Source organism: Homo sapiens, chromosome 18, assembly GCF_000001405.40.
Source record: "Homo sapiens chromosome 18, GRCh38.p14 Primary Assembly".
NCBI lineage: Eukaryota > Metazoa > Chordata > Mammalia > Primates > Hominidae > Homo > Homo sapiens.
The window spans coordinates 78,975,266-78,999,459 of NC_000018.10; the positions used below are offsets into that span (position 1 = coordinate 78,975,266).

The window sequence follows — 24,194 nt, forward strand, 5'->3', positions numbered from 1 at the left end:
GCAAGCTAATAATAATCGTTTCGGCCTCCCTATAGGCAAGGAGTCAAAGTTTTAACTTGCTAGCATTATTTATGTAATCATACATGCTGAAATGTCCCTCCTGGTCTACATGCAGCCCCGAGCCACAGTTCAGCCATCAGGAGAGAAGTACTTCACCATCGTTTGCATCCCTCAGTGCGAAGACGACTGTGAGCTGATGTTTCTGTGTATGCCATAAAAAGCCACGGAATGTTTGCCTCTGATGGCTACGGTGAAGCTACACAGCGTCCTGGAATAAACACACAGGAAGGCTGCGGAGCACGTAACCAAAATGGACTGATACACTCCACACCCGGCTCACATCTGTTAAAAATATTTAGGCATATTTATCTCCAATAGCTTTGAAAGCAAAGGAAGTCACAGCAGTTGTATCCAGTGTGGACAGGGCAGTTAGCTATGTGCTGGTTTATTTACTTAGAGCATTTTATTTTTACGGGGAAAGTTATCTTCAAGTAGGCAAACAGAGGATTGGAAAAAGCGTTTTCAAAAAACCATAAATATAATTTTTGGCTACATGTTTCCTACACCCCCACCCAATGTAATAGAAAAGCAACATCTTTATAATTGGCACTTGACATGCTGTTTGCGTTGGGCTGTGGCACACCAAGCACAGATTTCCTGTTGATGGAAACATTTATCATCCTGATTGCCCCAGAGTGGCAGGTGGTGTTATCAATTACCTCTTCTTACCAATAATAATATTAGTATGGTAATATCTTTGCTCAAGTGAGAACCAATTAGCAGTCACTTGTCACAGCATTAGAGGCACCAAATCATGCTGAATTTAACTCTAAGAACCTAAAACAAAAGTTGGGGGTAGGGGAGGAAACGGAGAGAGGTGGCCAGAGAATAGAAGAAAGGAACTTTGGGTGGGGGGAGGAATGAAAGAAGACAGAAAATGAAATGAAAGCCCTAATATTTGAAGGTGTTTTTTTTTTTTTGCATTAAGTGGTTGGGGAAAATAAACACTTGTAAACAAAGCATCAAATGCACCTTAGGTAAAACTAGCTTCTGTGAATCTGGGGCCAGGTAGCTTCAATAAACTGTGACTGTGATGGTAAATTAGAACCAACTACTCCACTTCCAATCAATCTTGCAGATAGGCTTTGTTTTATCTGAATGATACCGATTGAACCAAACACCTAATTATATGTTTCACTAATGTAAAATATACAGCATTAATTTGTAAATAATATTAGACAAAATAATAATGTGTCACCTCAAGATGAAAACAACATTGCAAGAGGAAAGACAATTAACAAATTAGATTTAATTACAGGGAAGAAAAGCAACTTTTGTTTTTGCGAGTGTTTAGGTATGACAATATTAATAGACAGTGGTCATGTGGTGACGAGTATGTGTGTGCCCCTCCGAGTCTGCACTACACAGGCACATGGCCCAGCGTCGCTTTAATCTGGGCACGACTAGAGCGCATGTCCTGTCTCATCTGCGAAAATATTCCATAGACACGTTGTCACTTCGCAATAAATCTATGGTTGCAACTCAGGCTTAAAATGCAAATGCTTTTATTAAAAGTTGTCGCACTGAATAAGAGCAATTAAAGAAAAGTTTCTGATCTGAGTATAGAGAAGGAAGAAAGGCGGGAACAAGCCAGTCAAGAAGTCGCACGCCTTTTGTTTTCTACCTTTGCTTTCTTAAAAAATTGATCTTGTTCACTTGTCAATTTTTAAAAGGGTGCACCGCAGAAATTACTCGTGCGCACCATTTCCGCTGTGGGGGCATTCGTACAAGTTTCCGCTGCACACACAGCCTCCCGGGCCCTCTCCTCCAAGGCTCTGCCGGATCTTCCAACGAAATCCCAGAGCAGCCTGCGCTGGGGAGCCCGCAAGTCTCTCCAGATCTCTGCACCCCGCACCGCCCGGAATCTGGGACGGCGCCCACGCAGGGCTGGGCCAAGGGCAGAGCTCGCACCCTGCCTTCACGCCCGGTTCACTTGCGTCCACGAAAGCAGCGTGCCGGCCTCCTCCATCTTCCCACTCGCGCAACGCACGGCGACCCGCGCGACACTTCTGCAATCTGAAGGCTTGCTTCTTACAAATAAAGGGCCAGAGTCTCACACTTGCCTTCGTTGGAGGGACTTAGAAGATCCTCCCCACGTCCACACCTTGTAGGAAATGCAAAACAGATCGATGAAATTAAACAGTTGCATTTGGAAGCCCCAGAAAGACCTAAAGACATCGTGCCGGTTTGTTGGAGAGAGGGTTGCGGGACAGGGGGAGCGGGCCTTACGCAACAGAAAAGGTGGGCACAGCGCGCTCAAAATGACCCAGTGAGGAGTTGGTGCCGCCGGGCCAGAGGCTGCGAGTCCAGCTGGCTCTGGACTTGCTCCGCAGGCGTCAGACGCCGTGGGAACCTGTGTCTGCTTCTTCTCTCCAAAGTGTATCGGTTAAAAAAAAATAAAAGTAGTAGTAGTAGTAGTGGTAAGGAAAAAAATAAAAATAAAAAGGAGACACAATTAACCAGGTCATAAAAGCTAGGGCACCTTCGACCAGGGCTCTGGCCCTCCAGCGATCGTTTTGCGTTGTTTCTCTTCTCAAAAGTAGTCTCAGACCCCTGCCTTTCCGCTGCAGCTCTGCGACTTCCCCAAACTCCTTAATCCTGTAAATTCTGCAAGAAACTCCCATCCTGCAAGCTGCTTTTCCCCCTCCCCCCTGCGTTCCTTTTTTCTCTCCCCACCCGCGCCGCCTCTCTATGCCCCTCTCTTCTCAGAAAAATTCCTGCCCCCCGCGCGCCCCAAAGCCCGGGCTGCAAACTTTTCCCCGCCGGGCGCCTCTGCGCCAGATGCCGGAGCGTCTCCACAAAGCCTGAGCATCTGCACAAGTTCGCAGCCTAACTGCGGGATAAAGACGTTTCCCCCGTAGCTTAACTAGAAAAGCGCCATCGATGGGTGTGTTAAACGGGATAACTAGAGATTTCAAACACCTTTTATTTGCCTGTCTTGAAAAAAAAATCTAAATGAATACGCCCGCTACCAAAAGGCAAAATAAAACCAACCTTAAGGGTTTTTGTTGTTTTTTTTTTTTTTCAAAAGTGGCGATAGGGACTGTTTGGACCTGACTCCAACCTGCGCCCTCCCTTCCTCTATGACCCTCCTGCGCTTTTCCTGGAACCCAAAGCTCTGACTTCGTCAAACTTACACAATTAAAGGCAGGCGGAAGAACGCGGGCTGGGAAGCAAGCGGGAAGATTCTAGAATGGAAGGGAGCCCGCCGAGCGCCGCGAGCCGCGCCAGGCCGGGTCCGATGGAGCAGGCGGGGATTCCTCCCCCAGGCGGACCCCCGCCACCAGCCCTGCCGGGAGCTCGCGGCCTGCGGAGCGCCCGGGCTGGCCGCTCACCGCCCGCTTCCCCCAGCGAACGACTCGGGGAAGCTCCAGGAGGCCATCTGTGCTGACGGTTCACACCAGACAGGACCACTTGCAAGGACAAAAATAAGAAATTTAGGAAACGAAAAAAGACGTACTGGGGCGAGGGGCGCGGGCGCGGCGACGACGGGGCCGGGGGCACATCCTGGCGGCCGCTCGGGGAGAGAGGACACGCGCGGGAAGGAGCGCGGCGGGTGCACGGCCGCGGGTGGGAGTACGCGCCTGTGCGCGCGGGGCGAGGGCGAGGGCGCGTGCGTGTGACCGCGGGGAGGGGGCGGGCGCGTGTGCGGGGAGCGCGCCGCGCCAGGGGCCGAGTGTGTGGGGCCGATCCAGAAGTGCGCAGCCCCCTCACCTGGCCCCCGTGTCATCCCCGAAATCCCGGGAAAGGGTGGGCCGCGCGCGGGAGTTTGGTGGAGTTGGAACTTTCGGTCGCGCTCGCTGCCCACTCCGCTGGCGCCCGGTGGCCCGTGGTGAAGGGGGACTAGGGTGGGGAACACCGGGGCCCTGCGGTCCCCTCCCTTTCCTGTATTTAAGAAGCCGCCGGCGGCGCAGAGGCCCAGGCGGGCTGGCGCGGGGGCGAGGCGGCCCGGTGGCAGCAGCGGGCGGGGCGGGCGCTCCGGAGTCGGTGGGGCCCGCGGGTTGGGGGGCGGGGAGAGGGGGGAGTGGAAGGGAGGGGGAACGCAGGGGAGGGAGAGGAGGGGAGGAGCCGCGCGGCCCGCGCCGCTTCCGAACCGGAAAGTTGGTCTTGCCGAAGTCCTGCCACCCCGGCGTGCGCACTCCGCTCCGCTCCGGCCGCGAGCCTCCGAGCCCGGCCGGCCGCCGGGGGAAGCCCGCGGAGGGGACGCGGGGCCGGGCGAGAAGGTCCGGAGAGCGGGGGGCACCTGAGCCCGGGCGGGCCCGCCGCGCTGAGCGGCGCTGAGAGCCGCGGCGGAGCAGCGAAGGCGGCCGGCCGACCCCGCGCGCCCGGAACAGGAGGCGCGGCGCCCGAGCGGCCCGGGCGAGACAAAGGCGCCGGGTCGGAGCCCTGCCCGCGGCCGCTCGCTCCGGGAGGGGCCGCCCGGCGGCGGCGGCGGGGGGGGCGCGGGCGGCGGCGCAGACACTCTATAAAGGGGCGAGCCCGGCGCGCCGGCGGAGACGGCGCCGCGCGGACGCCGCCAAAGTTTGCTGCCTGCGCCCTGCGGAGGGACGGCCACCGCGGCCCGCGCCGCACCCGGGCCCCGCCACAGCCGCACCCGGGGCGGCCGAGGAGCGCGGCGCCGGAGCCCGCGATGTGAGGCGGCGCCGGGCAGCGCGCGCCCCGGTCCCGAGGCGCCGCGGCCCCCTCCTCGTCGGCGCGGCCGCTAATTGCGAGCGCGGCCTCATTTGCATAGGCCGCCGGAGTCCGCTGGAGCCCGGCCAATCGGCGCGGCCCTCCGCTAATGGCCATGCATTATTCACCAGCCTAATTGCTCAGCCCCATGCGCGGCCCGCGCAGCCGCCGCCGCCCCGCGCCCCGCGCCGCGCGCCCGCCAGGCCGCCCCGCGCCGTCCCCGCCGGCCGCCCCGCTGATGCCGCTGCCCCGCGCGGGGCCCGAGCGCCGCTAGCAGCATGTCTCGGCGCAAGCAGGCCAAGCCCCAGCACCTCAAGTCGGACGAGGAGCTGCTGCCGCCTGACGGGGCTCCCGAGCACGGTGAGGGCCGGGGCTGCGGGGTGGCCGGGGGGTCTGGGGCTGCCCGTCCGGGCTGGGGAAGCGCGTGCGGCGGGAGCGGATGCGCGCGTCCGGGAGCGGGAGAAAGTTCCCTGCTTCCTGCGGGCAAGCGTCCGCCCCGCGCCAGGCCGGCCGCGGGGCCCCGGGTACTTCGCCGGAGCGCGCGCGGCCGCCGAGAGAGTTGTGGGCGAAGTAAACTTGGCTCCTCTCCTCGGAGTCGGGGAGCTGCCCGCGAAGGGCGCCGAGGCCGCGGCCGGCTCGAGGACGGCTCGGAGGCCGGGGCGGGAGGGAGTCCACGGTGCCTCCGCCGCCGCGCCGCCCCCCAGGGTCTCTGCGCCAGGACGCTGAGGCCGGCGGCGGCGGGGAAGGCGACCGCAGCCCACCTACCGCTGGACGCGGGTTGGGGACCCCGCCGCCCGGCCAGCTTTGTTCGGGGGCCCGCGGCCCCTCCCGGGCCCCCGCACCGCCTCGGGTGACCCGCGGTGTCCCAGCGCGTTGACGCAGCCTGTGATCCCTCGCGAGGCGAGGAGAAGGTCGGGGGCTTGGCTCTGCCTAATGGCCGCCCGGGGAATTAAGCTGGGGGTGAGCGCAGCGGCGGCGGCCTGGGCCTGGCCCCTGCTCGCGGCGTGTTTCCGGGGCGTTCGTTGCAGCGTCTGCGCGGGCCTTTTCTCTCCCGTCTTTTTGGATCCGCCGAGGCCGGGCGCTGGAGACCTCGGCTTTGCAGTCATTTCGCTGGTAGGAGCGTCCTCTTCGAAACATCCAAGAGCAAAGGGCAGGCGCCGCGAAAGTTAAGAGACTGGCAAAGGGCTGGACTTCCCAGAGTGGCGCCTTAGCCCCGCAAAGTTTGGGGCGCCCCCACCCCCTTCGTCGAGTCAAAACCTCGGCCGGCGGCGCCCGGGCTTCGGCGCGCCCCGCGGGGCCCCCAGGGCGCCAGGAAAGAGGGCCGAGGAGGGGCGACCCCACGACCCCGAGCCCGCAGCACAGCTCGCAGTAAAATAATTTGCTCCTTAAAAAAACAGGCAGGCCAACTTTTATGATTGACCTGTTATAAGTTGTTGGAGGCAGATGGTGATCTTTTTACTCTGAGAATGAGACTGTCTGCGAAAAGGAAACGGGGCGGAAGAGTTTCCCACACAGTGGAGTAAAGTTTGACAAAGCGGGTAGACACCCATGTCGGATGAGAACGAGAGAGCATGCTTATGACGCGGCTGGAGAATTAATGAATTAAATAAAATTAGTGAGCTCGCTGGGGTCTTTTTGTTGCGGTGGAGGTAAGGGAGTCTTATCTGTGTAGCCAAGTCAGCCAAGATGAGAACAGGCGATATGCTAAAAAGAAACGCTTGCATATGGTGGGTAGATTAAGGACAAAGAATCTTTTTGTCATGGAAATGGATTTTTTTTTGTTTTGTTTACTTCATCACATAGAATTTCTCACACTTGGTTTGTTTTGTATCGCCCTCAATGACTACATGATCAAATGAATGGATTTATTTCTGCCGAATGAGAAAGACAGTCTTTCCTTCAAAAGAACTACATTGCGTCCCAGTGAGGAATTTTAAAGCTTTATTATTGTGGCTCCTGAATGGCTTAAAATCGGCTTTCACAGCCGCCCCAAAATGCAACAATGTAAATACTTCTCAGCTTTGTAGGGTCGGTATCAAAATGTGCGATGTCTCCTTTTATTAAAGCATATTTTAATTAATAGAGTAAACCCCCTGGTATTTAACAATTAACAAGCTGAGGCACTGCTATTCATTTTTAATTTCACTTCAGAAATGTGAGCATGCTGAACTTAATAGTGTAAACGTGTGGAGGGCTATATCGCCTATATTTGAAAGCCTAAGATGGGATAAATTATTCACAAGTTCTACTTTGAATCCCTCTTGTTGCTGCTCGAATTTATTTAGAGATGCAAAATATTCAGGTTTTTTACCCGTGGTAGAATTGAAGTTCTTGTCAAGCCTGTGTTTTTCACAGCATCCAGAATTGTAATCCAGACGTTGCCACAGTTCCTGGTCATGTTTTGCAAGAGGCCCAAAATACCCTGTGTGGGGCCGAGTCTTGGTCGAGCAGCTCACATGCTTGTTTGAGAGAGTTTAGGCAAACTATTTTTTTTAAGTTCTTTCTCATTTAATTATATTCGAAGCAGCTTGTTCAAGGAGCATAACAGACACTCTGTTCCGTGTTAAGTCAAGGAATGCCCCATTTGTGTATTACTCGGTCGCACTCAGCATCGTTCCTAAGATAACTAAGTAAAAATTATAAAAAGGTAAATGGGTGTGGAAACCAAATTACTCCAACCTGAGTCAGATCTCCTCAAAATTTTAATTTTGTTAAATGCAATGGAAATAAACAGACCGTGCCGGAAGTTGCAAGTGAGCTCAGTTAGTTTAGTGTTTTAGAAACGAGGTAAATAATTCCTTTGTATCACTCGGGGAGTGACATATTAATTAAAGCAGCAGGTCCATCTACATGCAGTAAAATGGAAAGCTACTGATAATGTCCTGCAGAACAAATATTCTATGCAAAAATGTTTAGTATAATGGGGGACAGAGATGCACTCACATTAATTTACAGCACAAAGCCTGTATCTCTTAAAAAAGAATTATGATTTATTTTTGAAGCAATGAAAAGATTCTATACAAAAATAACTGGTGCTACCCAAACCTTACCACTACAGGAATGAAACATGACGTGTCTAGAATGAGAAAAAGTAAGGATAATTTATGTAAAGTTCTAAAGTCATGCTTTTGTTAAAAAAAAAAATTAAGTCATTGAGACATTCCTAACAGAAATTGCTTTTTAAAATTACTTACTTGCAAATGATCTCATTCCTATTTTAGAAGAAAGGCGCTGCAGCTTTAGGATCCAGTGAACTTTGCGCCACTAGTAATCCTGTGAGCCAGCTGAATATTTTTGTTCTAAGAAAAATTAATTAAAACTTCCAATGACAGTTATATGCCCACTAAGAACTTTAAAAGATACAATACTGCTATTCTTTATTGTATAAAATATAATTTAAGAAAGATGTATTTTGTTGTTGTTAGAAAATATGTATTTAAGAAGGAACAAAAGGGTATTATAATTTAAAACCATTTACCATCCTGTATTTTGTTTGTTAGCACTAATTGCTTCAAAGTGTGTTTTTTTTTCTGCCAACTTAGAAGTATATGGCTGTCTTAAAAATCCTTTTAAATGTGTTGAGCATGTGATTTAAGAATTTACCAGTGGTTTTCACAGACTGTGTTTGAATTAAGGGAAAGAAGCTCGGCCACCAGTGCTTGGCGCAGGATCTTTTTCTTTTATCTGTATATGCATGGTTTGCCCTCAGTGCTCCCCCAGCACACTACACACATTTACAATTCAGCATACCAAAAGGAACAATGCAGGAGCTACTTTCTAACATTCACAGGCAGATTGCTTTCTCTGAAACATGAAAGGTAAAAAGTAAGTAACCGGGTTGGGTGAGGGGAGAGGAAAAGAAGACTTTGCCAACATTTCTTTTAAAAACAACATTAAAAAACTTAACCTATTTAAAAGTGCACGTTTCTGTGATCAACAAAAAAGCATACCAATTAATTCCCAGCTTGCAGAGAGAGAGAGCTGATTATGTAACAGTTCTCGAATTTTATGTGCAGTACGTTTTCAACTTCCATGGCATATGCATTATCCAATATTTTTAGATCTGTTGTTCAAAGCCAGAAAAAGGTATGGAGTAACAGCAGGAATTACTTAGCAAGCTGATTCTTTTTTGTATACAAGATGATGGTAAAAGTGGGTCAAATTTCATTTCCAACTGCAATCTCTAAGAAGCTGTACCATTCATTTCCAGGTAGCCCTAAGAATATTTTCTTTTGGGGGGAATTCAGCAAAAGCACAACCAGGGTTTCTATTCTGTGTGCTGACCATTAGTTGGAATTTAGCATTCTTAAAAGTATTGGCACCAGCTTTTATTTAAGTACAATAAAAATCTTTTTCACTTCTAATGAGGATATGCACCATCTTTCAGTGCTGCAAGATAGTTTCAAGAAGCATAACTTTTAAATATAACAGGAAGGATTTTTTGTTTTTATTAGTTTTATTTTCCTACATGATTTGTTCAGTAGTTGCCAGAATAAGACCAACATGTTTTAGTCTTGGAAGGACAGGTTTGTAATTACAGCATACCTTAATTATTACACATTTCATACACAATGAAACAAACTGTATGTAAAAATTGAGCAATTTAATGTTCCAAGTAAACTTTTATTTAAAAAAAAAAACCTGTCTAGGGTTATTTCTCATGTAATTTCGACACATTTATGATTTAAAATGCAGCTAACTGATTTCTAAGCAAACCAGGCCAGTCACATGCCAGAAAGTATAAAATATTAATTGTAATAAAATAATGGAATGGTTTCTATGTTAGAGATGAAGATTGATTTGTTTCTTAATTAAAGGGAGGCGTTCTCCAGACTGAGACGGTGTCCACCAAGGGGATCCGATAATGCCAGTGTGGTGTCTAAATATTTTCCTCTGTGGGCCTGTCTTTTTCAATCACCTTCAGATTAGTTCTGCTTACTATCTAAAATCCCTACCCCCTTCGCATTCTCTGCGAGCATTAGCAGCCAGCTCGGCGCAGAAAGCCTTTTTGTCTGATGTCTGAAAAGGTGGGGTTGCAGAGTGCTGGCCAGCTTCCGACCGTCTCTCCCTGAAGGTGGGTAGTTAGAAGTGCTTTGACAAGCCTTGCTGATTTAACCTTTGCCTGCTTTGCCCTGCCAGGGGTGGCCACTAGATGTCAAGCTCATAATACAATTAGTGCATCTGTGCTGTTGACCTTGGCAACAGGGCTCACCACTGTTCTGTTAAGTGTTAACACTGAATCTGAGTGTTAACTAGAGATCCCGCGAGCTTGCGCCGTGCTGCACGGCTTCTCAGACGCCATCTAGTTCAGCACAAGTGTTTATAGTTCTTAAAGAAGAAGAGAAAACGGCTTTCTTTTGTGTCGTTATTGCATCTTGAACTGTTTAATTAACCCTGCAGGTGCCGCGGCACTTTGTCGTGATTCGTCGGCGTTACTGGTCTTTTCGAGAGTGACCTTCACCGCACTGTTTGGTAATTCTGTTGTAGGATCTGTATACGTGCAGAGTCACTGGCTTCAACGACCCAGGGCAGTGGCTTTTCCAGGATGATTTTTTGCATATGTGCAAACTTTGCCTGTAGAAATGAAAGTGCCATGAAGTGCTGACAAATGATGGAAATGATTCCATCGCCTGATCCCGAGTGTGAGCGGGCTGATGGTCACAGCTGATGGTAGCCTTGCTTCTGGACGCAGCGTGGCTCATGTGCCCCTCTAGAGCTATTTACATGTAGGCATTTATATGTCTAAGTGGTTTTGCGTATTTATTTCTATGCATAGTGGATTTGAAAAATGGACAGTGTTTGGGTGCTTTCAAGTAGGCATGTCATGAAATAGCACGTTTAATTTCATGTGTCGGATCAGTGAGACCACAGCCTTTGAATGTAAACCATCTGCATCTTCACCAAAAGTGATTTAGCAAAACCTTGTTTTCACCCCCTCATCAAATTTCGATTGAAATTGTTTGCATCAGCTGACATATTTCAGGTCTGCGTATTTTTCATTAGGCATAGATAGTGATACACACGCGTTCCTTATAAGTGTGATGACAGCATAACATCTAAATGAAAGAACTATTGTGCAACCTTGAAGTGTAACAAACGTCTTATTATTTGAAGCAGCGTCGAGGGCAGATAGTTAAAGCAAATGCGAGTGCTGTCCAGCTCCCATCTGCATGTACCCATAAAGGCAACCGTGTCTCCTCCCGGGTGCTTCACTGCACAGGTTAAAAACTGCAAATGTTTTAAGCAGAAGACAGTTGGTGACTGTGCCACAGGTGGTCGTGACTTAACAAATTTGAGGTGTGGGCCATGGCGTCGACGCGCGGGAGTGTGTGGTCAGAGCCGCGTTGAGCATGGCAAGAGTGCCCTCCACTGTTCAGCGCTGTGCGTACACACTCTGAGGTCTCGGGAAAAGGACAGAAAATTTTTCTATTGCGTCTGGAATTTCTTCTACATTGTTAAACACAGTAGGGGTCTCTATTTGTCTCCTCCTGTTTCACAGCTTGGGCTCAGTATGTGATAATTCATCTTTCTTTATGGGATTCAAAGCTATCATAAGGAGTTAAAAAGAATTAATTTGCAAGAAAATAAGTGTCTCCTAACAATTTAGGAAAACTGGAAAAAAATGCTTTCTGGATTTTTAAGAGATGGAAAGGCAAAGGAAAAAGTCCGTCTTCCTTTCCTGAAGATCCACGTGGCATTTTAAAGTTACTCATTGAAGTGGATAAGTTAACAACCCTTTCCCTGCACTAAACAAATTCTGCTTCTCTTGTTCATTGTAATGAGTAAAAAACATGCAGCAAAAGTGTATTGAAGGTGAGCTTTTGAGATTGATAAAGGAAATTACAGAACACCTATATTAATACTACTTTGTAATTGGTTAGCTTACTTAAAAACCACTGTACTTGAAATGCCAAGAACTGTAGCTTGAAATTTTTGAAGAAAGCATCGTCTTAAATATTATATAGGTATACACAGCATATCTTAAGTTATATATTTCATACACAAAATTTATGTAAAAATTGAGCATTTTAATATTATTCTAAGTAAACTTATTTTTAAAAAAAAAACCTGTTTTAGGTTTTTTCTCATGTAATTTCTCATGTAAAACCAAATCAGAGGATTAGTTTGCTTGGAAATCACATAGCTGTATTTTACACACACATATTACAATGATGTTTTTCACTTGTGGCTTTAAAAAGATCATCCAGGCTAAAAATTCTGCCTGTCATTCTGATAGAAGATAGATAGATTCTATAACAGACCAGGGATTAAAGCTGAGCGAAGACCAAAAACAGACAGTCTGAGGGGTTCCTTTCACACCAAGAGTCACTCCTAAGAATAGGAACATTTTTGTTAAACATTCTGTGTATATTTTATTAGTTAGAAGGGGAAAATACATATTTTTTTTAACTATCGTCTTTGAAGCTATGCTTTTGTTAGAGGTTTTCTCTGAAAGGCCTGTGGGACCTTCCTCCCCTCTTCTGTACAACTGAGAAACACAGACAGGAAGGAATGTGCACATGGTAATAGAGGCCCTGAAAATCTAGGTGTAAACAGCAGATATTGGGATCACTGTAAATTAAATGGAAAAAAAAACTATATTTTTATCCTGTGTAGTGCAGATGGCCAACATGGCACCATGGGTGTGATACTTAATTTGAGATCAGCTAAGGCGGGTTGTGGCAGAGCAGGTCCTGAGGCCACCTTCACGTTCACATAGAAGCAAATGGGTTGGTACTTCCTAAAAGTAGCCCTGGCCAGATACTCTCATTCACCAAGAAGGGAAGAGTGTTCGCTAAGTTCTGTTAGTTGGTGAACTGGTTGGCATTTTTCTTAACTTGTTCTAATAAAATCCCATTCCTGCCCATCCCCTGCCTGTTTACAGTTTCACGTCTCTTAGCTGTTGAATAGTGTGCAAAAAATAAGTTCCTTTGACATTAATGATAATGTTTGCAATGCTTGCTTTTTAATTCGCCCCTTAAACAAAGAGAGGAAGAAAATGAAAATTGCATTGGAAATAAATTTCTCAAACTTGTCACTGTTGTACTGTTGTTACAGTGCCTCGCTGACATGGTTTTGCCTTGACATAAAAAGTTTAGGCCATATTAATTAATGTAATAACTTCTATTTTTGGAACATGCATACAGGCCAGTTCAAAATACAAGTTTAATTTAAAAAGGTGGTTAAATACATTTGAATCTGACATAATACTGGCTTTAAATGATGGCAGGATTAAAGGGCTTTAGAAGTTTATATGATAAAATTGTGGACTAAATGCAGATTTTTCCCATATGGGTTTGCTTGTTATAGACAGCACTTAAACGTAAGTAAATAATGTCAGATTGGCACATAAACACTGTAATATATGCATTTAATCATCATCATGAGAAGGGCCATGGAAGCAGTTTATAAGAACTTATTCTTCAGAATGCATCAGAAGCCAGCACTCCTCAGTCTGCAAGCCAGCAAAATGTCTTTCTAGTTCTCAGGAAACTCTGTCCTTAGTAAAATATGTTCACTTTGGTTATTTCCTACAACCAGTTCAGTCAAGTGCTTACTATTGTTTAATAACATTCTTGAAGTATGCAGACAGAATTTCAATTCCATATGTGATTGTTTCAATTCCACACGTGAGTGTTTTTACCTGTATTTCTTTTATTCGGGGCTATGTTGTGAAATTCGTTCTTATCTACAACTTTTATGGAATGCTAATCACATTCAAATGTTGATAGTGAGACACAGTCACAGCTGGGGCACGCGAGAACAATTGAGGTGATCACATTGATATTTTATACACACCTCAATAGAAAATATAGATGATGATCCTGATTTGCCTGAAATAATCTGAGTTGTATTGAAATTTTTTTCCTTCATTAATAATAACCTTTAAGGTCTGTTTTAGTCAAAAGCCAAATTTATTACGGAGCTTTGCTTATAAAATCCAGCATAGTCTGTTTCCTTGGGCTCATTAACAAAATGAACTGTTAACAGGTCCAAATGGTCACAATGACATTTTTTAACACAATTTCCTTTTTCAATTTTGAAGGAATAAATGGAAGCTTATTTTACTTTGAAAAGAATATCTTCATTGTATTGGTAATTATCACTTATAATTGCTTTAAACAAAATGACTTACTATGTGGCAGAAAGTGCTTAAACATTCTACGCACGGTTTCCACAATCGAGAAACAGTTGCAATTTAGCAAACTTACCAATGGGAAAAGTGAAATCACATGTGGAAACACTTCCCAACATCCATGAATTAGGAAGTGAACCCTAAAAATATTTAACATATTTAAAAAAAACTAATGGGAATGTAAAAATGCAAATTGTTAAGGTAAATAGAGATTTGTTTGGGTCAGGACCTTTGCAAAAAGCACAAGATCTTTGTGAAAAACAAAAGTGATATTTATCACACACTATGGTTTGTGACAAAATCTGGGAAATGTTCATTTTTAAAGATAAAATGTATCTGTGGTTATGTAAGTTAATTCTTTCAACACTAAACTCACTTGAAATGATCCAAGGATCAACCTAATTTTAAAGCATTTTTCTCAATGAACTGTCCCTAATACACATTCCCTATAAAGAAAAAGTATTCTTTTAATAAGATACACACTTTGTAAAACTGTAACTATATATACTACCTGAATGTTTTTGTGTAGCATATAAGTTATACATTTTATCTCCTGTAAGGAGTTAAGTGTAAAAAATGTTTCAAGGAATTAACAAGCATTTAATTTCTTGGGATGTTCCTTTTTAAAATATTTTGTATCATTGTTTCAAAATATTGGAAAACCCCTTAAAACACTCTGTTCCTTGTTTAGTTACAGTAGTTATTTCTGTGCCATATAGATGTGTATGGATGGTTTAATGCAGATGAACTTTTTAAGTGGCTACTTAGATTTTTGTTTTTAAACATTCAGGGCTGCTGAAGAACATTCCACTCTTAAAAAGAAATTTAAAAGTAGAAATTCTTTGCATTTTGTGATTATTTTTAAGATACATGACTAGATTTTGAGATAGGCCTTTTTATCAGTCATTAAGAAATTACCTGAAGATTTGAGGCTCTTTTTGTTCTTTGCCCTATTCCATAACCTTTGCGGGTTTAAAATTAGATTTTGCATACATTGAGCAAAGTTGAGTACTTGGAGTATTTATTTTGCTAATGTGCCTATCTGCAGTATAAATCAGCTGTGTCTTTGCTTCCAGCTATAGTCAACCTCATTACAGATACCTATTACATTCCTTCCTCCATACAGTAATGAGACCTCTTGCTGCAGTCTGGTCTTCGGCGCTGAATTTAGTTTAAAAGTCTAGCAGGCTTTATGGGCTGCAAGCTCTAACTTCTTTCCCCTTCAGATGGTTTAGCCAGTTAAGAAAATGCTAATTGAACACTGCTAATAATTTTTTAAAGGCATGTATAAATTACCTGAGAATAATGGCCTCATGGTGAGTCACAAACTAGCCTCAAAAAATATTTTTCTTTTCAAGTAGAGGAAAAGTATGTTTTTACAGGACATTTTTTTAAAAATCAGAATTCTCTATTGAACTCAGTGCTAAATTATTCTTTTTCCAGAACCCTAAACATCAACAACAAATGTGGAGCTTTTTAGCAAATGCTGCATTTGTTGATGTTCTAACAGTAAATTATTTCCGGGGACACAGACTTGAAGATGTTTTGTTCTCACACTCAACTGTGCGCGTTTAACAAAGAGCTGATGTGCAGCTGTCATTGTGTCTGTTGGAACTGATTTGTTGCCATCACTCCATCTGTAAGTTGACAAAAAGCAGTTACGAGTCAGTAATATCCAGGCGAGCACAGAGAACCTGAGTAATTATTGGGAATTACTTTTCACCCCAACCACCCAAAAAATGGAAGGTAGCAACGTTGCTGTATGTTGGTTTCTCATTCCTGTATAGCTATTTATTTGATCAGGTGTGAATTAGAGTTCTTCATTAAACATAGTTGTTACTCGGCACAAGAGGGTAAGGGGAGACGGAGGAAGTGGCTGCCTACAACAGTAATTAAACATGTGTAACCAATTAGAGGGTTTTCCACTATGGCACAAGCATATAATTTGCTAAGTCTTCTATGAGAATAGATGAAAATAGGTACAAAAAGTGTGTCTGACTACAACATTCTCATGTTAAACATGTCAACATAAATGAACTTTAAATATATAATTTCTAGTTTGTTAACAAACCACTGAATTCTATTGGCTAATAACAGTAACATGTAATTTTAGTTCATTTTGCCAAGAAATATTGCATCTGACAGAGCCAATTAATTGTATTACACATGATGCATTTTAGGCCTAGACTGTATTGATTTGGCAAAGTCTAAAATGTAGAAGTGTACCCTATCTGGAAGAAAGTACAAGGGTGGGGGGGGGGGAACTGCTCTGTCGCTCTGAGTTGGCGGAGATTGTTTTTCTGAGCTGATGTAAGAAACGCTTATGTTTCCTTTGTTACATTCACAAATGAGAGCATTTAGCCAAAATTGCCTACATAAAGTAAATGCCCATTGGCTCAGAGGTTCTGTAAGTAACCTTACCTTAAATCTGGAATGTCTCCGCGCTGCGTAAAGATGAGAAATCCGCGTGGTGGGGACCACACCGGCCACAGCGCGGCCCCCTGTCAGGTGTTGATGTGAGTTTGAAAGGTTACAGATTAGTTTAGCAATGTTAAGTGAACTGGCAAAGGCATCTCTAATTTTGCTGGAAATGAGGAAGCCGGATGGTAAAGGGGAATCCTAATGAGCCCATCGAAAGCCGGCTTTGTACTCAACAGACAGGGTAGCCGCAGATTGTATGAAAATATTGGAAATCAATGGCTTCTATGGAATTTCATTAAGAAGCAGGATCCACAATTGATAGGGCCTCATAATTTGATGGATTGGGCTAAGAAAATGATTAGCTAGCTAGAAAGAGTCATAGAATACGCACGCTGGGACGTCAGAAATGTCGAAGTGGGGTAATTTGTACAAAATAAAAAATATTGATTTTACTCGTGCAAAATTTTGAGACGGAGGGCGGGCGCCGAGCCCCGGCTGACTCACTCTCTTGGTCTTGCAGCCGCCCCGGGGGAAGGTGCGGAGGACGCAGACAGCGGGCCCGAGAGCCGCAGCGGGGGCGAGGAGACCAGCGTGTGCGAGAAATGCTGCGCCGAGTTCTTCAAGTGGGCGGACTTCCTGGAGCACCAGCGGAGCTGCACCAAGCTCCCGCCCGTGCTGATCGTGCACGAGGACGCGCCCGCGCCGCCCCCCGAGGACTTCCCCGAGCCTTCGCCCGCCAGCTCCCCCAGCGAGCGCGCCGAAAGCGAGGCGGCCGAGGAGGCGGGTGCGGAGGGCGCGGAGGGCGAGGCCAGGCCGGTGGAGAAGGAGGCCGAGCCCATGGACGCGGAACCCGCGGGGGACACGCGCGCGCCCCGGCCCCCGCCTGCGGCCCCTGCACCCCCAACGCCCGCCTACGGCGCGCCCAGCACCAACGTGACCCTGGAGGCGCTGCTGAGCACCAAGGTGGCGGTGGCGCAGTTCTCGCAGGGCGCGCGCGCGGCAGGCGGCTCGGGAGCAGGTGGAGGCGTGGCAGCTGCAGCCGTGCCCCTGATCCTGGAACAGCTCATGGCCCTGCAGCAGCAGCAGATCCACCAGCTGCAGCTCATCGAGCAGATCCGCAGCCAGGTGGCCCTCATGCAGCGCCCGCCGCCGCGGCCCTCACTCAGCCCCGCGGCCGCCCCGAGCGCACCGGGCCCGGCCCCCAGCCAGCTGCCCGGGCTGGCCGCGCTCCCGCTGTCGGCCGGGGCCCCTGCCGCCGCCATCGCGGGCTCGGGCCCCGCCGCCCCGGCCGCCTTCGAGGGCGCGCAGCCGCTGTCCCGGCCCGAGTCTGGCGCCAGCACCCCCGGCGGCCCTGCGGAGCCCAGCGCGCCCGCCGCCCCCAGCGCCGCCCCTGCCCCCGCTGCCCCCGCCCCGGCGCCAGCGCCGCAGAGCGCAGCCTCGTCGCAGCCGCAGAGCGCATCCACGCCGCCTGCCCTGGCCCCGGGGTCCCTGCTGGGTGCGGCGCCCGGCCTGCCAAGTCCGCTTCTACCTCAGACTTCCGCCAGCGGCGTCATCTTCCCCAACCCGCTGGTCAGCATCGCGGCCACGGCCAACGCTCTGGACCCGCTGTCCGCGCTCATGAAGCACCGCAAGGGCAAGCCGCCCAATGTGTCGGTGTTCGAGCCCAAAGCCAGCGCCGAGGACCCGTTCTTCAAGCACAAATGCCGCTTCTGCGCCAAGGTCTTCGGCAGCGACAGCGCGCTCCAGATCCACCTGCGCTCGCACACAGGCGAGCGGCCCTTCAAGTGCAACATCTGCGGGAACCGCTTCTCCACCAAAGGCAACCTGAAGGTGCACTTCCAGAGGCACAAGGAGAAGTACCCCCACATCCAGATGAACCCTTACCCGGTCCCCGAGTACCTGGACAACGTGCCCACCTGCTCGGGCATCCCCTACGGCATGTCGCTGCCCCCCGAGAAGCCCGTGACCACCTGGCTGGACAGCAAGCCCGTGCTGCCCACCGTGCCCACGTCCGTGGGGCTGCAACTGCCGCCCACTGTCCCTGGCGCGCACGGCTACGCCGACTCTCCCAGCGCCACCCCAGCCAGCCGCTCCCCGCAGAGGCCCTCGCCCGCCTCCAGCGAGTGCGCCTCCTTGTCCCCAGGCCTCAACCACGTGGAGTCCGGCGTGTCGGCCACCGCCGAGTCCCCACAGTCGCTCCTCGGCGGGCCGCCCCTCACTAAAGCCGAGCCCGTCAGCCTGCCCTGCACCAACGCCAGGGCCGGGGACGCTCCCGTGGGCGCGCAGGCTAGCGCTGCACCCACATCGGTGGACGGCGCACCCACGAGCCTCGGCAGCCCCGGGCTGCCCGCCGTCTCCGAGCAGTTCAAGGCCCAGTTTCCGTTCGGGGGGCTGCTAGACTCGATGCAAACGTCGGAAACCTCGAAGCTGCAGCAGCTGGTGGAGAACATCGACAAGAAGATGACGGACCCGAACCAGTGCGTCATCTGCCACCGGGTGCTGAGCTGCCAGAGCGCGCTGAAGATGCACTACCGGACGCACACGGGGGAGCGGCCGTTCAAGTGCAAGATCTGCGGCCGCGCCTTCACCACCAAGGGCAACCTCAAGACGCACTTCGGCGTGCACCGTGCAAAGCCGCCCCTGCGCGTGCAGCACTCCTGCCCCATCTGCCAGAAGAAGTTCACCAACGCCGTGGTCCTGCAGCAGCACATCCGCATGCACATGGGCGGCCAGATCCCCAACACGCCGCTGCCGGAGGGCTTCCAGGATGCCATGGACTCCGAGCTGGCCTACGACGACAAGAACGCGGAGACCCTGAGCAGCTACGATGACGACATGGACGAGAACTCCATGGAGGACGACGCTGAGCTGAAGGACGCGGCCACCGACCCGGCCAAGCCACTCCTGTCCTACGCGGGGTCCTGCCCGCCCTCCCCGCCCTCGGTCATCTCCAGCATTGCCGCCCTGGAGAACCAGATGAAGATGATCGACTCGGTCATGAGCTGCCAGCAGCTGACCGGCCTCAAGTCCGTGGAGAACGGGTCCGGGGAGAGTGACCGCCTGAGCAACGACTCCTCGTCGGCCGTGGGCGACCTGGAGAGCCGCAGCGCGGGCAGCCCCGCCCTGTCCGAGTCCTCGTCCTCGCAGGCCCTGTCGCCGGCCCCCAGCAATGGTGAGAGCTTCCGCTCCAAGTCCCCGGGCCTGGGCGCCCCGGAGGAGCCCCAGGAAATCCCGCTCAAGACCGAGAGGCCGGACAGCCCAGCCGCCGCCCCGGGCAGCGGAGGCGCCCCTGGCCGCGCGGGCATCAAGGAGGAGGCGCCCTTCAGCCTGCTGTTCCTGAGCAGGGAGCGGGGTAAGTGTCCCAGCACTGTGTGTGGTGTCTGTGGCAAGCCTTTTGCTTGCAAGAGCGCGTTGGAAATCCACTACCGCAGCCATACTAAGGAGCGGCCATTCGTCTGCGCGCTCTGCAGGCGAGGGTGCTCCACTATGGGTAATTTAAAACAGCACTTACTGACACACAGATTGAAAGAGCTGCCTTCTCAGTTATTTGACCCCAACTTTGCTCTAGGTCCCAGCCAAAGCACTCCTAGCCTGATCTCCAGCGCCGCACCCACCATGATCAAAATGGAAGTGAACGGTCACGGCAAGGCCATGGCGCTGGGCGAGGGTCCCCCGCTGCCCGCGGGCGTCCAGGTCCCCGCCGGGCCTCAGACAGTGATGGGCCCGGGCCTGGCGCCCATGCTGGCCCCCCCACCGCGCCGGACGCCCAAGCAGCACAACTGCCAGTCGTGCGGGAAGACCTTCTCCTCGGCCAGCGCCCTGCAGATCCATGAGCGCACGCACACCGGCGAGAAGCCGTTCGGCTGCACCATCTGCGGCCGGGCCTTCACCACTAAGGGCAACCTCAAGGTAAGAGCATGGCAGGCTCCAGCCCCGGCTGCGGTGCGGCCGAGCCACGGTGGCTTTCTCCATCACCTGCCGCAGACACAGCGGCCGAGGTCCTGCTCCTATCCTGGCCAGGGGGGTGAGATGCCACGCCTGTGGGTGTGTGTGCGTGATGTGTGCGTGTTATAGGGTGTGATATGTGTGTGTCGGGTGTGCGTGTGGGTGAGTAGCGTGTACCTATGTGTGTGCAGGTGTGTATGGGTCGTGTGTGTGTGCATGTGTAGGTGCCCTATGTGTGGGTGTATGTAATGTATCCATATATTTATAACGTGCGTGTGCAAATGTGCATGTCGTGTGTGGTGTCTGGCATGCCTGTGTGTCCCTGTGCACACACACTGAGACTACATCCTGTTAATCCGCTGTGGGGGGAACAGGAGCCTGGGCCTCTCCCGGGGAACACGTGCAGCTGGGCCTCTGATGCCTTCAGCCAGGTTAGGCATTCCTTAGGGGTGAGAATGCTCACTTTGCAACTTGGTAGGCAGGTCCAGGGCCTGAAGCCCTCTTGAATCTGATAGAAAATAAACTTGGTTTTAAAACTCACATGTAATACAAGCAGTACCAAGGCGAGGCCACTCAGCAGGCCCTGTCGTTCTGTCCGTGTGGCTGCCAAAAGGGCCCATGGGAGGGGCGCTGGGTGAGAAGCTCCTGGCGTGGGGCAGAGGAGCCAGCGCTGTGCAGTGTTCCTGTATGAGATCGCAGCAGCAGCGGTAGAGCGGGTGTGTGACGAGTACTGGGTGGCTCAGGCCTGTGCCTTGTGCTGTGTTGACTGATGGCTGCTTTCTGTCGTCTGTGAAGTGCACGTTTGCAAAGCCAGCCTGTCTGGGTTCCGGCAGCCTCTTCAGACAGCCCAAAGATCGATGCCTGTGGTTTCTACCTGGCGTGCGTGGGCTGGATAAGAACTGCCCGCAGGGCCTGCTGGCAGGTGGCCCTGGGATGTTCTAGAATTAATGTTTCTTTGTTTGAGAGAAAGCAAGAGGAGAGGGGCACAGTCAGAGAGTCCCAGCAGCAGAAGATGCAAAGTGGGGGACAGTAGAGGTCAGAAGGGAGCCAGGGCTTGGGCAAGTGAAGGAGCAAGACCCGGACCCTTCGAGCTCCAGAACATTCTCTGCGTGGCCATGTGGGTTTTACACCTTAGGAGAAAATTACTCGAAAGTTTGTCAACTGAAAGACCGCACTCATTAATTTATATTTGTTGGTTTTGCTTATTGTATTCAATAAAACAAGATGTTTGCATGTAGAAATATAAAGTGCCCAGAAAAGTCCACCTGTGTTTTGTTGTCCGTAAGTCGCGCTTGGGAGCGGGGTGGACCTCTGTCTGCTGCGCTGGAAGCGGAGCAGCTCTGCCTCCGTGTCTAGGCACTTACTCGTGGGCTGTCTCCGTGTCTCGCGCAGGTGCACATGGGGACACACATGTGGAATAACGCCCCCGCGAGACGCGGCCGCCGCCTGTCTGTGGAGAACCCCATGGCTCTCCTAGGGGGTGATGCCCTGAAGTTCTCTGAAATGTTCCAGAAGGACCTGGCAGCTCGGGCAATGAACGTCGACCCCAGTTTTTGGAACCAGTATGCTGCAGCCATCACTAACGGGCTCGCCATGAAGAACAACGAGATCTCCGTCATCCAGAACGGCGGCATCCCCCAGCTCCCCGTGAGTCTTGGGGGCAGCGCCCTCCCCCCTCTGGGCAGCATGGCCAGTGGGATGGACAAAGCACGCACTGGCAGTAGCCCACCCATCGTCAGCTTGGACAAAGCGAGCTCAGAAACAGCAGCCAGCCGCCCATTCACGCGGTTTATCGAGGATAACAAGGAGATTGGTATCAACTAGCCAGTGACTCGCTCATCTGCCCTGCCCAGGCCCACGTTTTGAAGTTGGAGCATCAGGCCTCCGACCTTTCTTGCCTCGGTTCTCATTACACTTTCACCCATAGCAGAAAACACTTTGTGCGGCTGCCGAGAGGTGGTCTTGTAAGCGCTGCATGGCGCTCCCTTCAACAGCAAGCCTGACTGTTCTCGAGAACTCTGCAATCTTTTAAATAAGCTTCCTTCAAAAAAAAAAGTGCTTGGAAAACCGCCTTAGGAACAGAAAGAGCTCAGACCATGTCCACTTCCTTTCTCCTGAAACCTAATAATCTCTCCGAGGGAGAAAGGGGTTCTCTGCGGTATTCCAGTGAAACTCATTTGATGGTTTCTTTTGAATTAGTTAGACACTTGAACGGTGTTTTTTAGAACTCTTCATGTTAAAGACGTGGTTTAGTACTCCCAATGCTGTGTATCATGACACTATCTTCGTCTGTAGTATTTATGATGTTAAGATAATGCGGGTAACAGACAATATAATAGCCCCGACCTTAAACGAAGCTTTTGTACTGCAGAATACATCTGGCTGTGTGATTTTTTTTTTTAAGCAAGATTTGTTTTACTATAAATAAGTGGATTATTTCAATGCAGGCAAAATTGTGAAGTTCTGTTGGGAAAGATAGCATGCTTTTCGTGTGCAAGTACCTGTCAGTAATAAGCCTTTTTTTTTTTTTTTTTTAATTTAAATGTTTGTAGCTGCTATGTGGACAGTTGTTTTCTAGTGTGGTCTGTAGCCCAATAACTGGGGAACGAGTTACAGACAAACATCACCGTAAATGACTCACAACATTATAAACAGTTGTGAGAAAATATTTCACATTATCAAAGCTGTACAATAAAAAGGTAATGTTTGTATAATGTGGTTGCAAACTCTTAATTTATACTATTGCACTTTTAGTATTTTGTATTAGGGAGGTTTGTCTATAATTTGAAAATTTAAAAAAATGTAAAGTATTTTATAAATAGTACTTCAGTTTAAGGAAAATGGGAAAACTGTTACAGTTCCTTGTTTTGTCTTATGGTCAAACAATATTAGAAATCTCTGCCACTTGAAAAGCCACCAAGACTTGTCAGCTTTTCAGTAAAGTAGGGCCTGCCGTTTCTTAAATTAAAATGATTTATTTAACTTTTCCACAAAGCCCACTTTAAAACTGTGACCGCCCCCTAACGAAACCTTGGTGAATTCATCCTAGGACTATGACGTCAGTACAAGCCAGGAAGGAACTAGGATAACCTTCTGCAGGTCTGATTTTCATGTAAGCGGGTCTGTCTCTCTCTCTCACCCACAGACAAGATTGTGGCTGCCTGGTGGCACTGGTCACATGTACAGTAAACCCAAGAGAAATGGCAAGTATCAGGCAGTACAATCAGTCATGACTTTGAAATTTTCCGAGTTCCTGATTTATTTATTATCTTCTCAGATGAAAGCAAAGCACAGTGTCCTCTGATTTTTCAGAACACAGCCTGACGCTGATGGCTGAGCTGCATCCAGCCAGGAGGGCCCCGGAGGCTGGGGCGGCCGAGGCAGCACAAACACGGCGTCGTGAACTACCTCATTTTCGTGCGTTGCAAGTGTGCTGGCGTCTGACACTATGAACTTCCAACAACAAAATTGTTCAAGAGATGCTCTGGTAGCTGGGTAACTGCAAGGAGTTGCATGCCCCTGAAGAAAGAATCAGACAGTGAAGTCTTCTCGGTCGAGACAGAAAAATAGAACAATCTTCTCCTAACAACCACAGCAGCATCAACAATCATTGTAAGAGGATGGGCTGTTTGTGCCAGCGTGTCACTAAACAAAAAGTATCAAAGACTCATTAGCTGTTTATTTCTATTGGAAATCAACACTGAACTCTACAGCTCTGTTTTCCACGGTGATGAGATGTAACTTCGCCCCACCATGCCACCTCTTCTCACGGGATGAGGGCTCGGGGTGTCTCAAGCATTAGGCAGAGAAAACTGAGGTGGCTTAAGGTCACTGTGTTTCAGCAGTTGAATGTTTTCATTATTTATCTGTGTCCTTTTTGGTGTGTGTGTGTGTGTGGTTTTTTTGTTTGTTTGTTTTTGGTTAGTATTTGGTACCATATAGTGTTCTCTCTTCTCCCAAA

The 24,194-nt window shown here is 49.4% G+C and overlaps 1 protein-coding gene and 1 long non-coding RNA gene across 5 annotated transcripts, besides 5 other annotated features; one reads left to right on the forward strand and one right to left on the reverse strand.

Moving 5' to 3' along the window:
- Positions 1,290-4,426, reverse strand: LINC01896 (long intergenic non-protein coding RNA 1896). 4 transcript variants are annotated; one of them, NR_187297.1, is made up of 5 exons: positions 3,775-4,426; positions 3,198-3,473; positions 2,543-2,667; positions 2,290-2,425; positions 1,290-2,164 (listed from the first exon to the last, which is right to left on the reverse strand). It is a non-coding gene; the product is annotated as a long intergenic non-protein coding RNA 1896 (long non-coding RNA). The 4 variants fall into 4 exon arrangements; NR_187285.1 differs by having other exon boundaries at positions 2,290-2,667; positions 4,155-4,426; NR_187288.1 differs by lacking the exon at positions 2,543-2,667.
- Positions 1,402-2,115: an enhancer, noted in NCBI's record as "H3K27ac-H3K4me1 hESC enhancer chr18:76736667-76737380 (GRCh37/hg19 assembly coordinates)". NCBI's record gives its function as "activates a minimal SCP1, AML or CMV promoter by ChIP-STARR-seq in naive H9 embryonic stem cells {active_cell/tissue: H9 hESC(naive)}" and the evidence as "EXISTENCE:reporter gene assay evidence [ECO:0000049][PMID:30033119]".
- SALL3 (spalt like transcription factor 3) lies at positions 4,553-23,704 on the forward strand. Its single transcript, NM_171999.4, has 3 exons — positions 4,553-5,091; positions 16,809-20,197; positions 21,626-23,704. The coding sequence occupies exons 1-3, from the start codon at positions 5,010-5,012 to the stop codon at positions 22,055-22,057; spliced, it is 3,903 nt and encodes a 1,300-aa protein (NP_741996.2). The 5' UTR covers positions 4,553-5,009; the 3' UTR covers positions 22,058-23,704.
- Positions 5,970-6,799: an enhancer, noted in NCBI's record as "OCT4-NANOG-H3K27ac hESC enhancer chr18:76741235-76742064 (GRCh37/hg19 assembly coordinates)". NCBI's record gives its function as "activates a minimal SCP1, AML or CMV promoter by ChIP-STARR-seq in primed H9 embryonic stem cells {active_cell/tissue: H9 hESC(primed)}" and the evidence as "EXISTENCE:reporter gene assay evidence [ECO:0000049][PMID:30033119]".
- Positions 8,145-8,903: an enhancer, noted in NCBI's record as "OCT4-NANOG hESC enhancer chr18:76743410-76744168 (GRCh37/hg19 assembly coordinates)". NCBI's record gives its function as "activates a minimal SCP1, AML or CMV promoter by ChIP-STARR-seq in naive H9 embryonic stem cells {active_cell/tissue: H9 hESC(naive)}" and the evidence as "EXISTENCE:reporter gene assay evidence [ECO:0000049][PMID:30033119]".
- Positions 9,598-10,112: an enhancer, noted in NCBI's record as "NANOG hESC enhancer chr18:76744863-76745377 (GRCh37/hg19 assembly coordinates)". NCBI's record gives its function as "activates a minimal SCP1, AML or CMV promoter by ChIP-STARR-seq in naive and primed H9 embryonic stem cells {active_cell/tissue: H9 hESC(naive and primed)}" and the evidence as "EXISTENCE:reporter gene assay evidence [ECO:0000049][PMID:30033119]".
- Positions 18,539-19,520: an enhancer, noted in NCBI's record as "H3K27ac-H3K4me1 hESC enhancer chr18:76753804-76754785 (GRCh37/hg19 assembly coordinates)". NCBI's record gives its function as "activates a minimal SCP1, AML or CMV promoter by ChIP-STARR-seq in primed H9 embryonic stem cells {active_cell/tissue: H9 hESC(primed)}" and the evidence as "EXISTENCE:reporter gene assay evidence [ECO:0000049][PMID:30033119]".

Coding starts and splice junctions, on each gene's coding strand:
- SALL3 (NM_171999.4), top strand. CDS start 5,010: ATGTCTCGGCGCAAGCAGGCCAAGCCCCAGCACCTCAAGTCGGACGAG. Junction 5,092..16,808: donor TGACGGGGCTCCCGAGCACG/GTGAGGGCCGGG, acceptor TTGGTCTTGCAG/CCGCCCCGGGGGAAGGTGCG. Junction 20,198..21,625: donor CCACTAAGGGCAACCTCAAG/GTAAGAGCATGG, acceptor TGTCTCGCGCAG/GTGCACATGGGGACACACAT.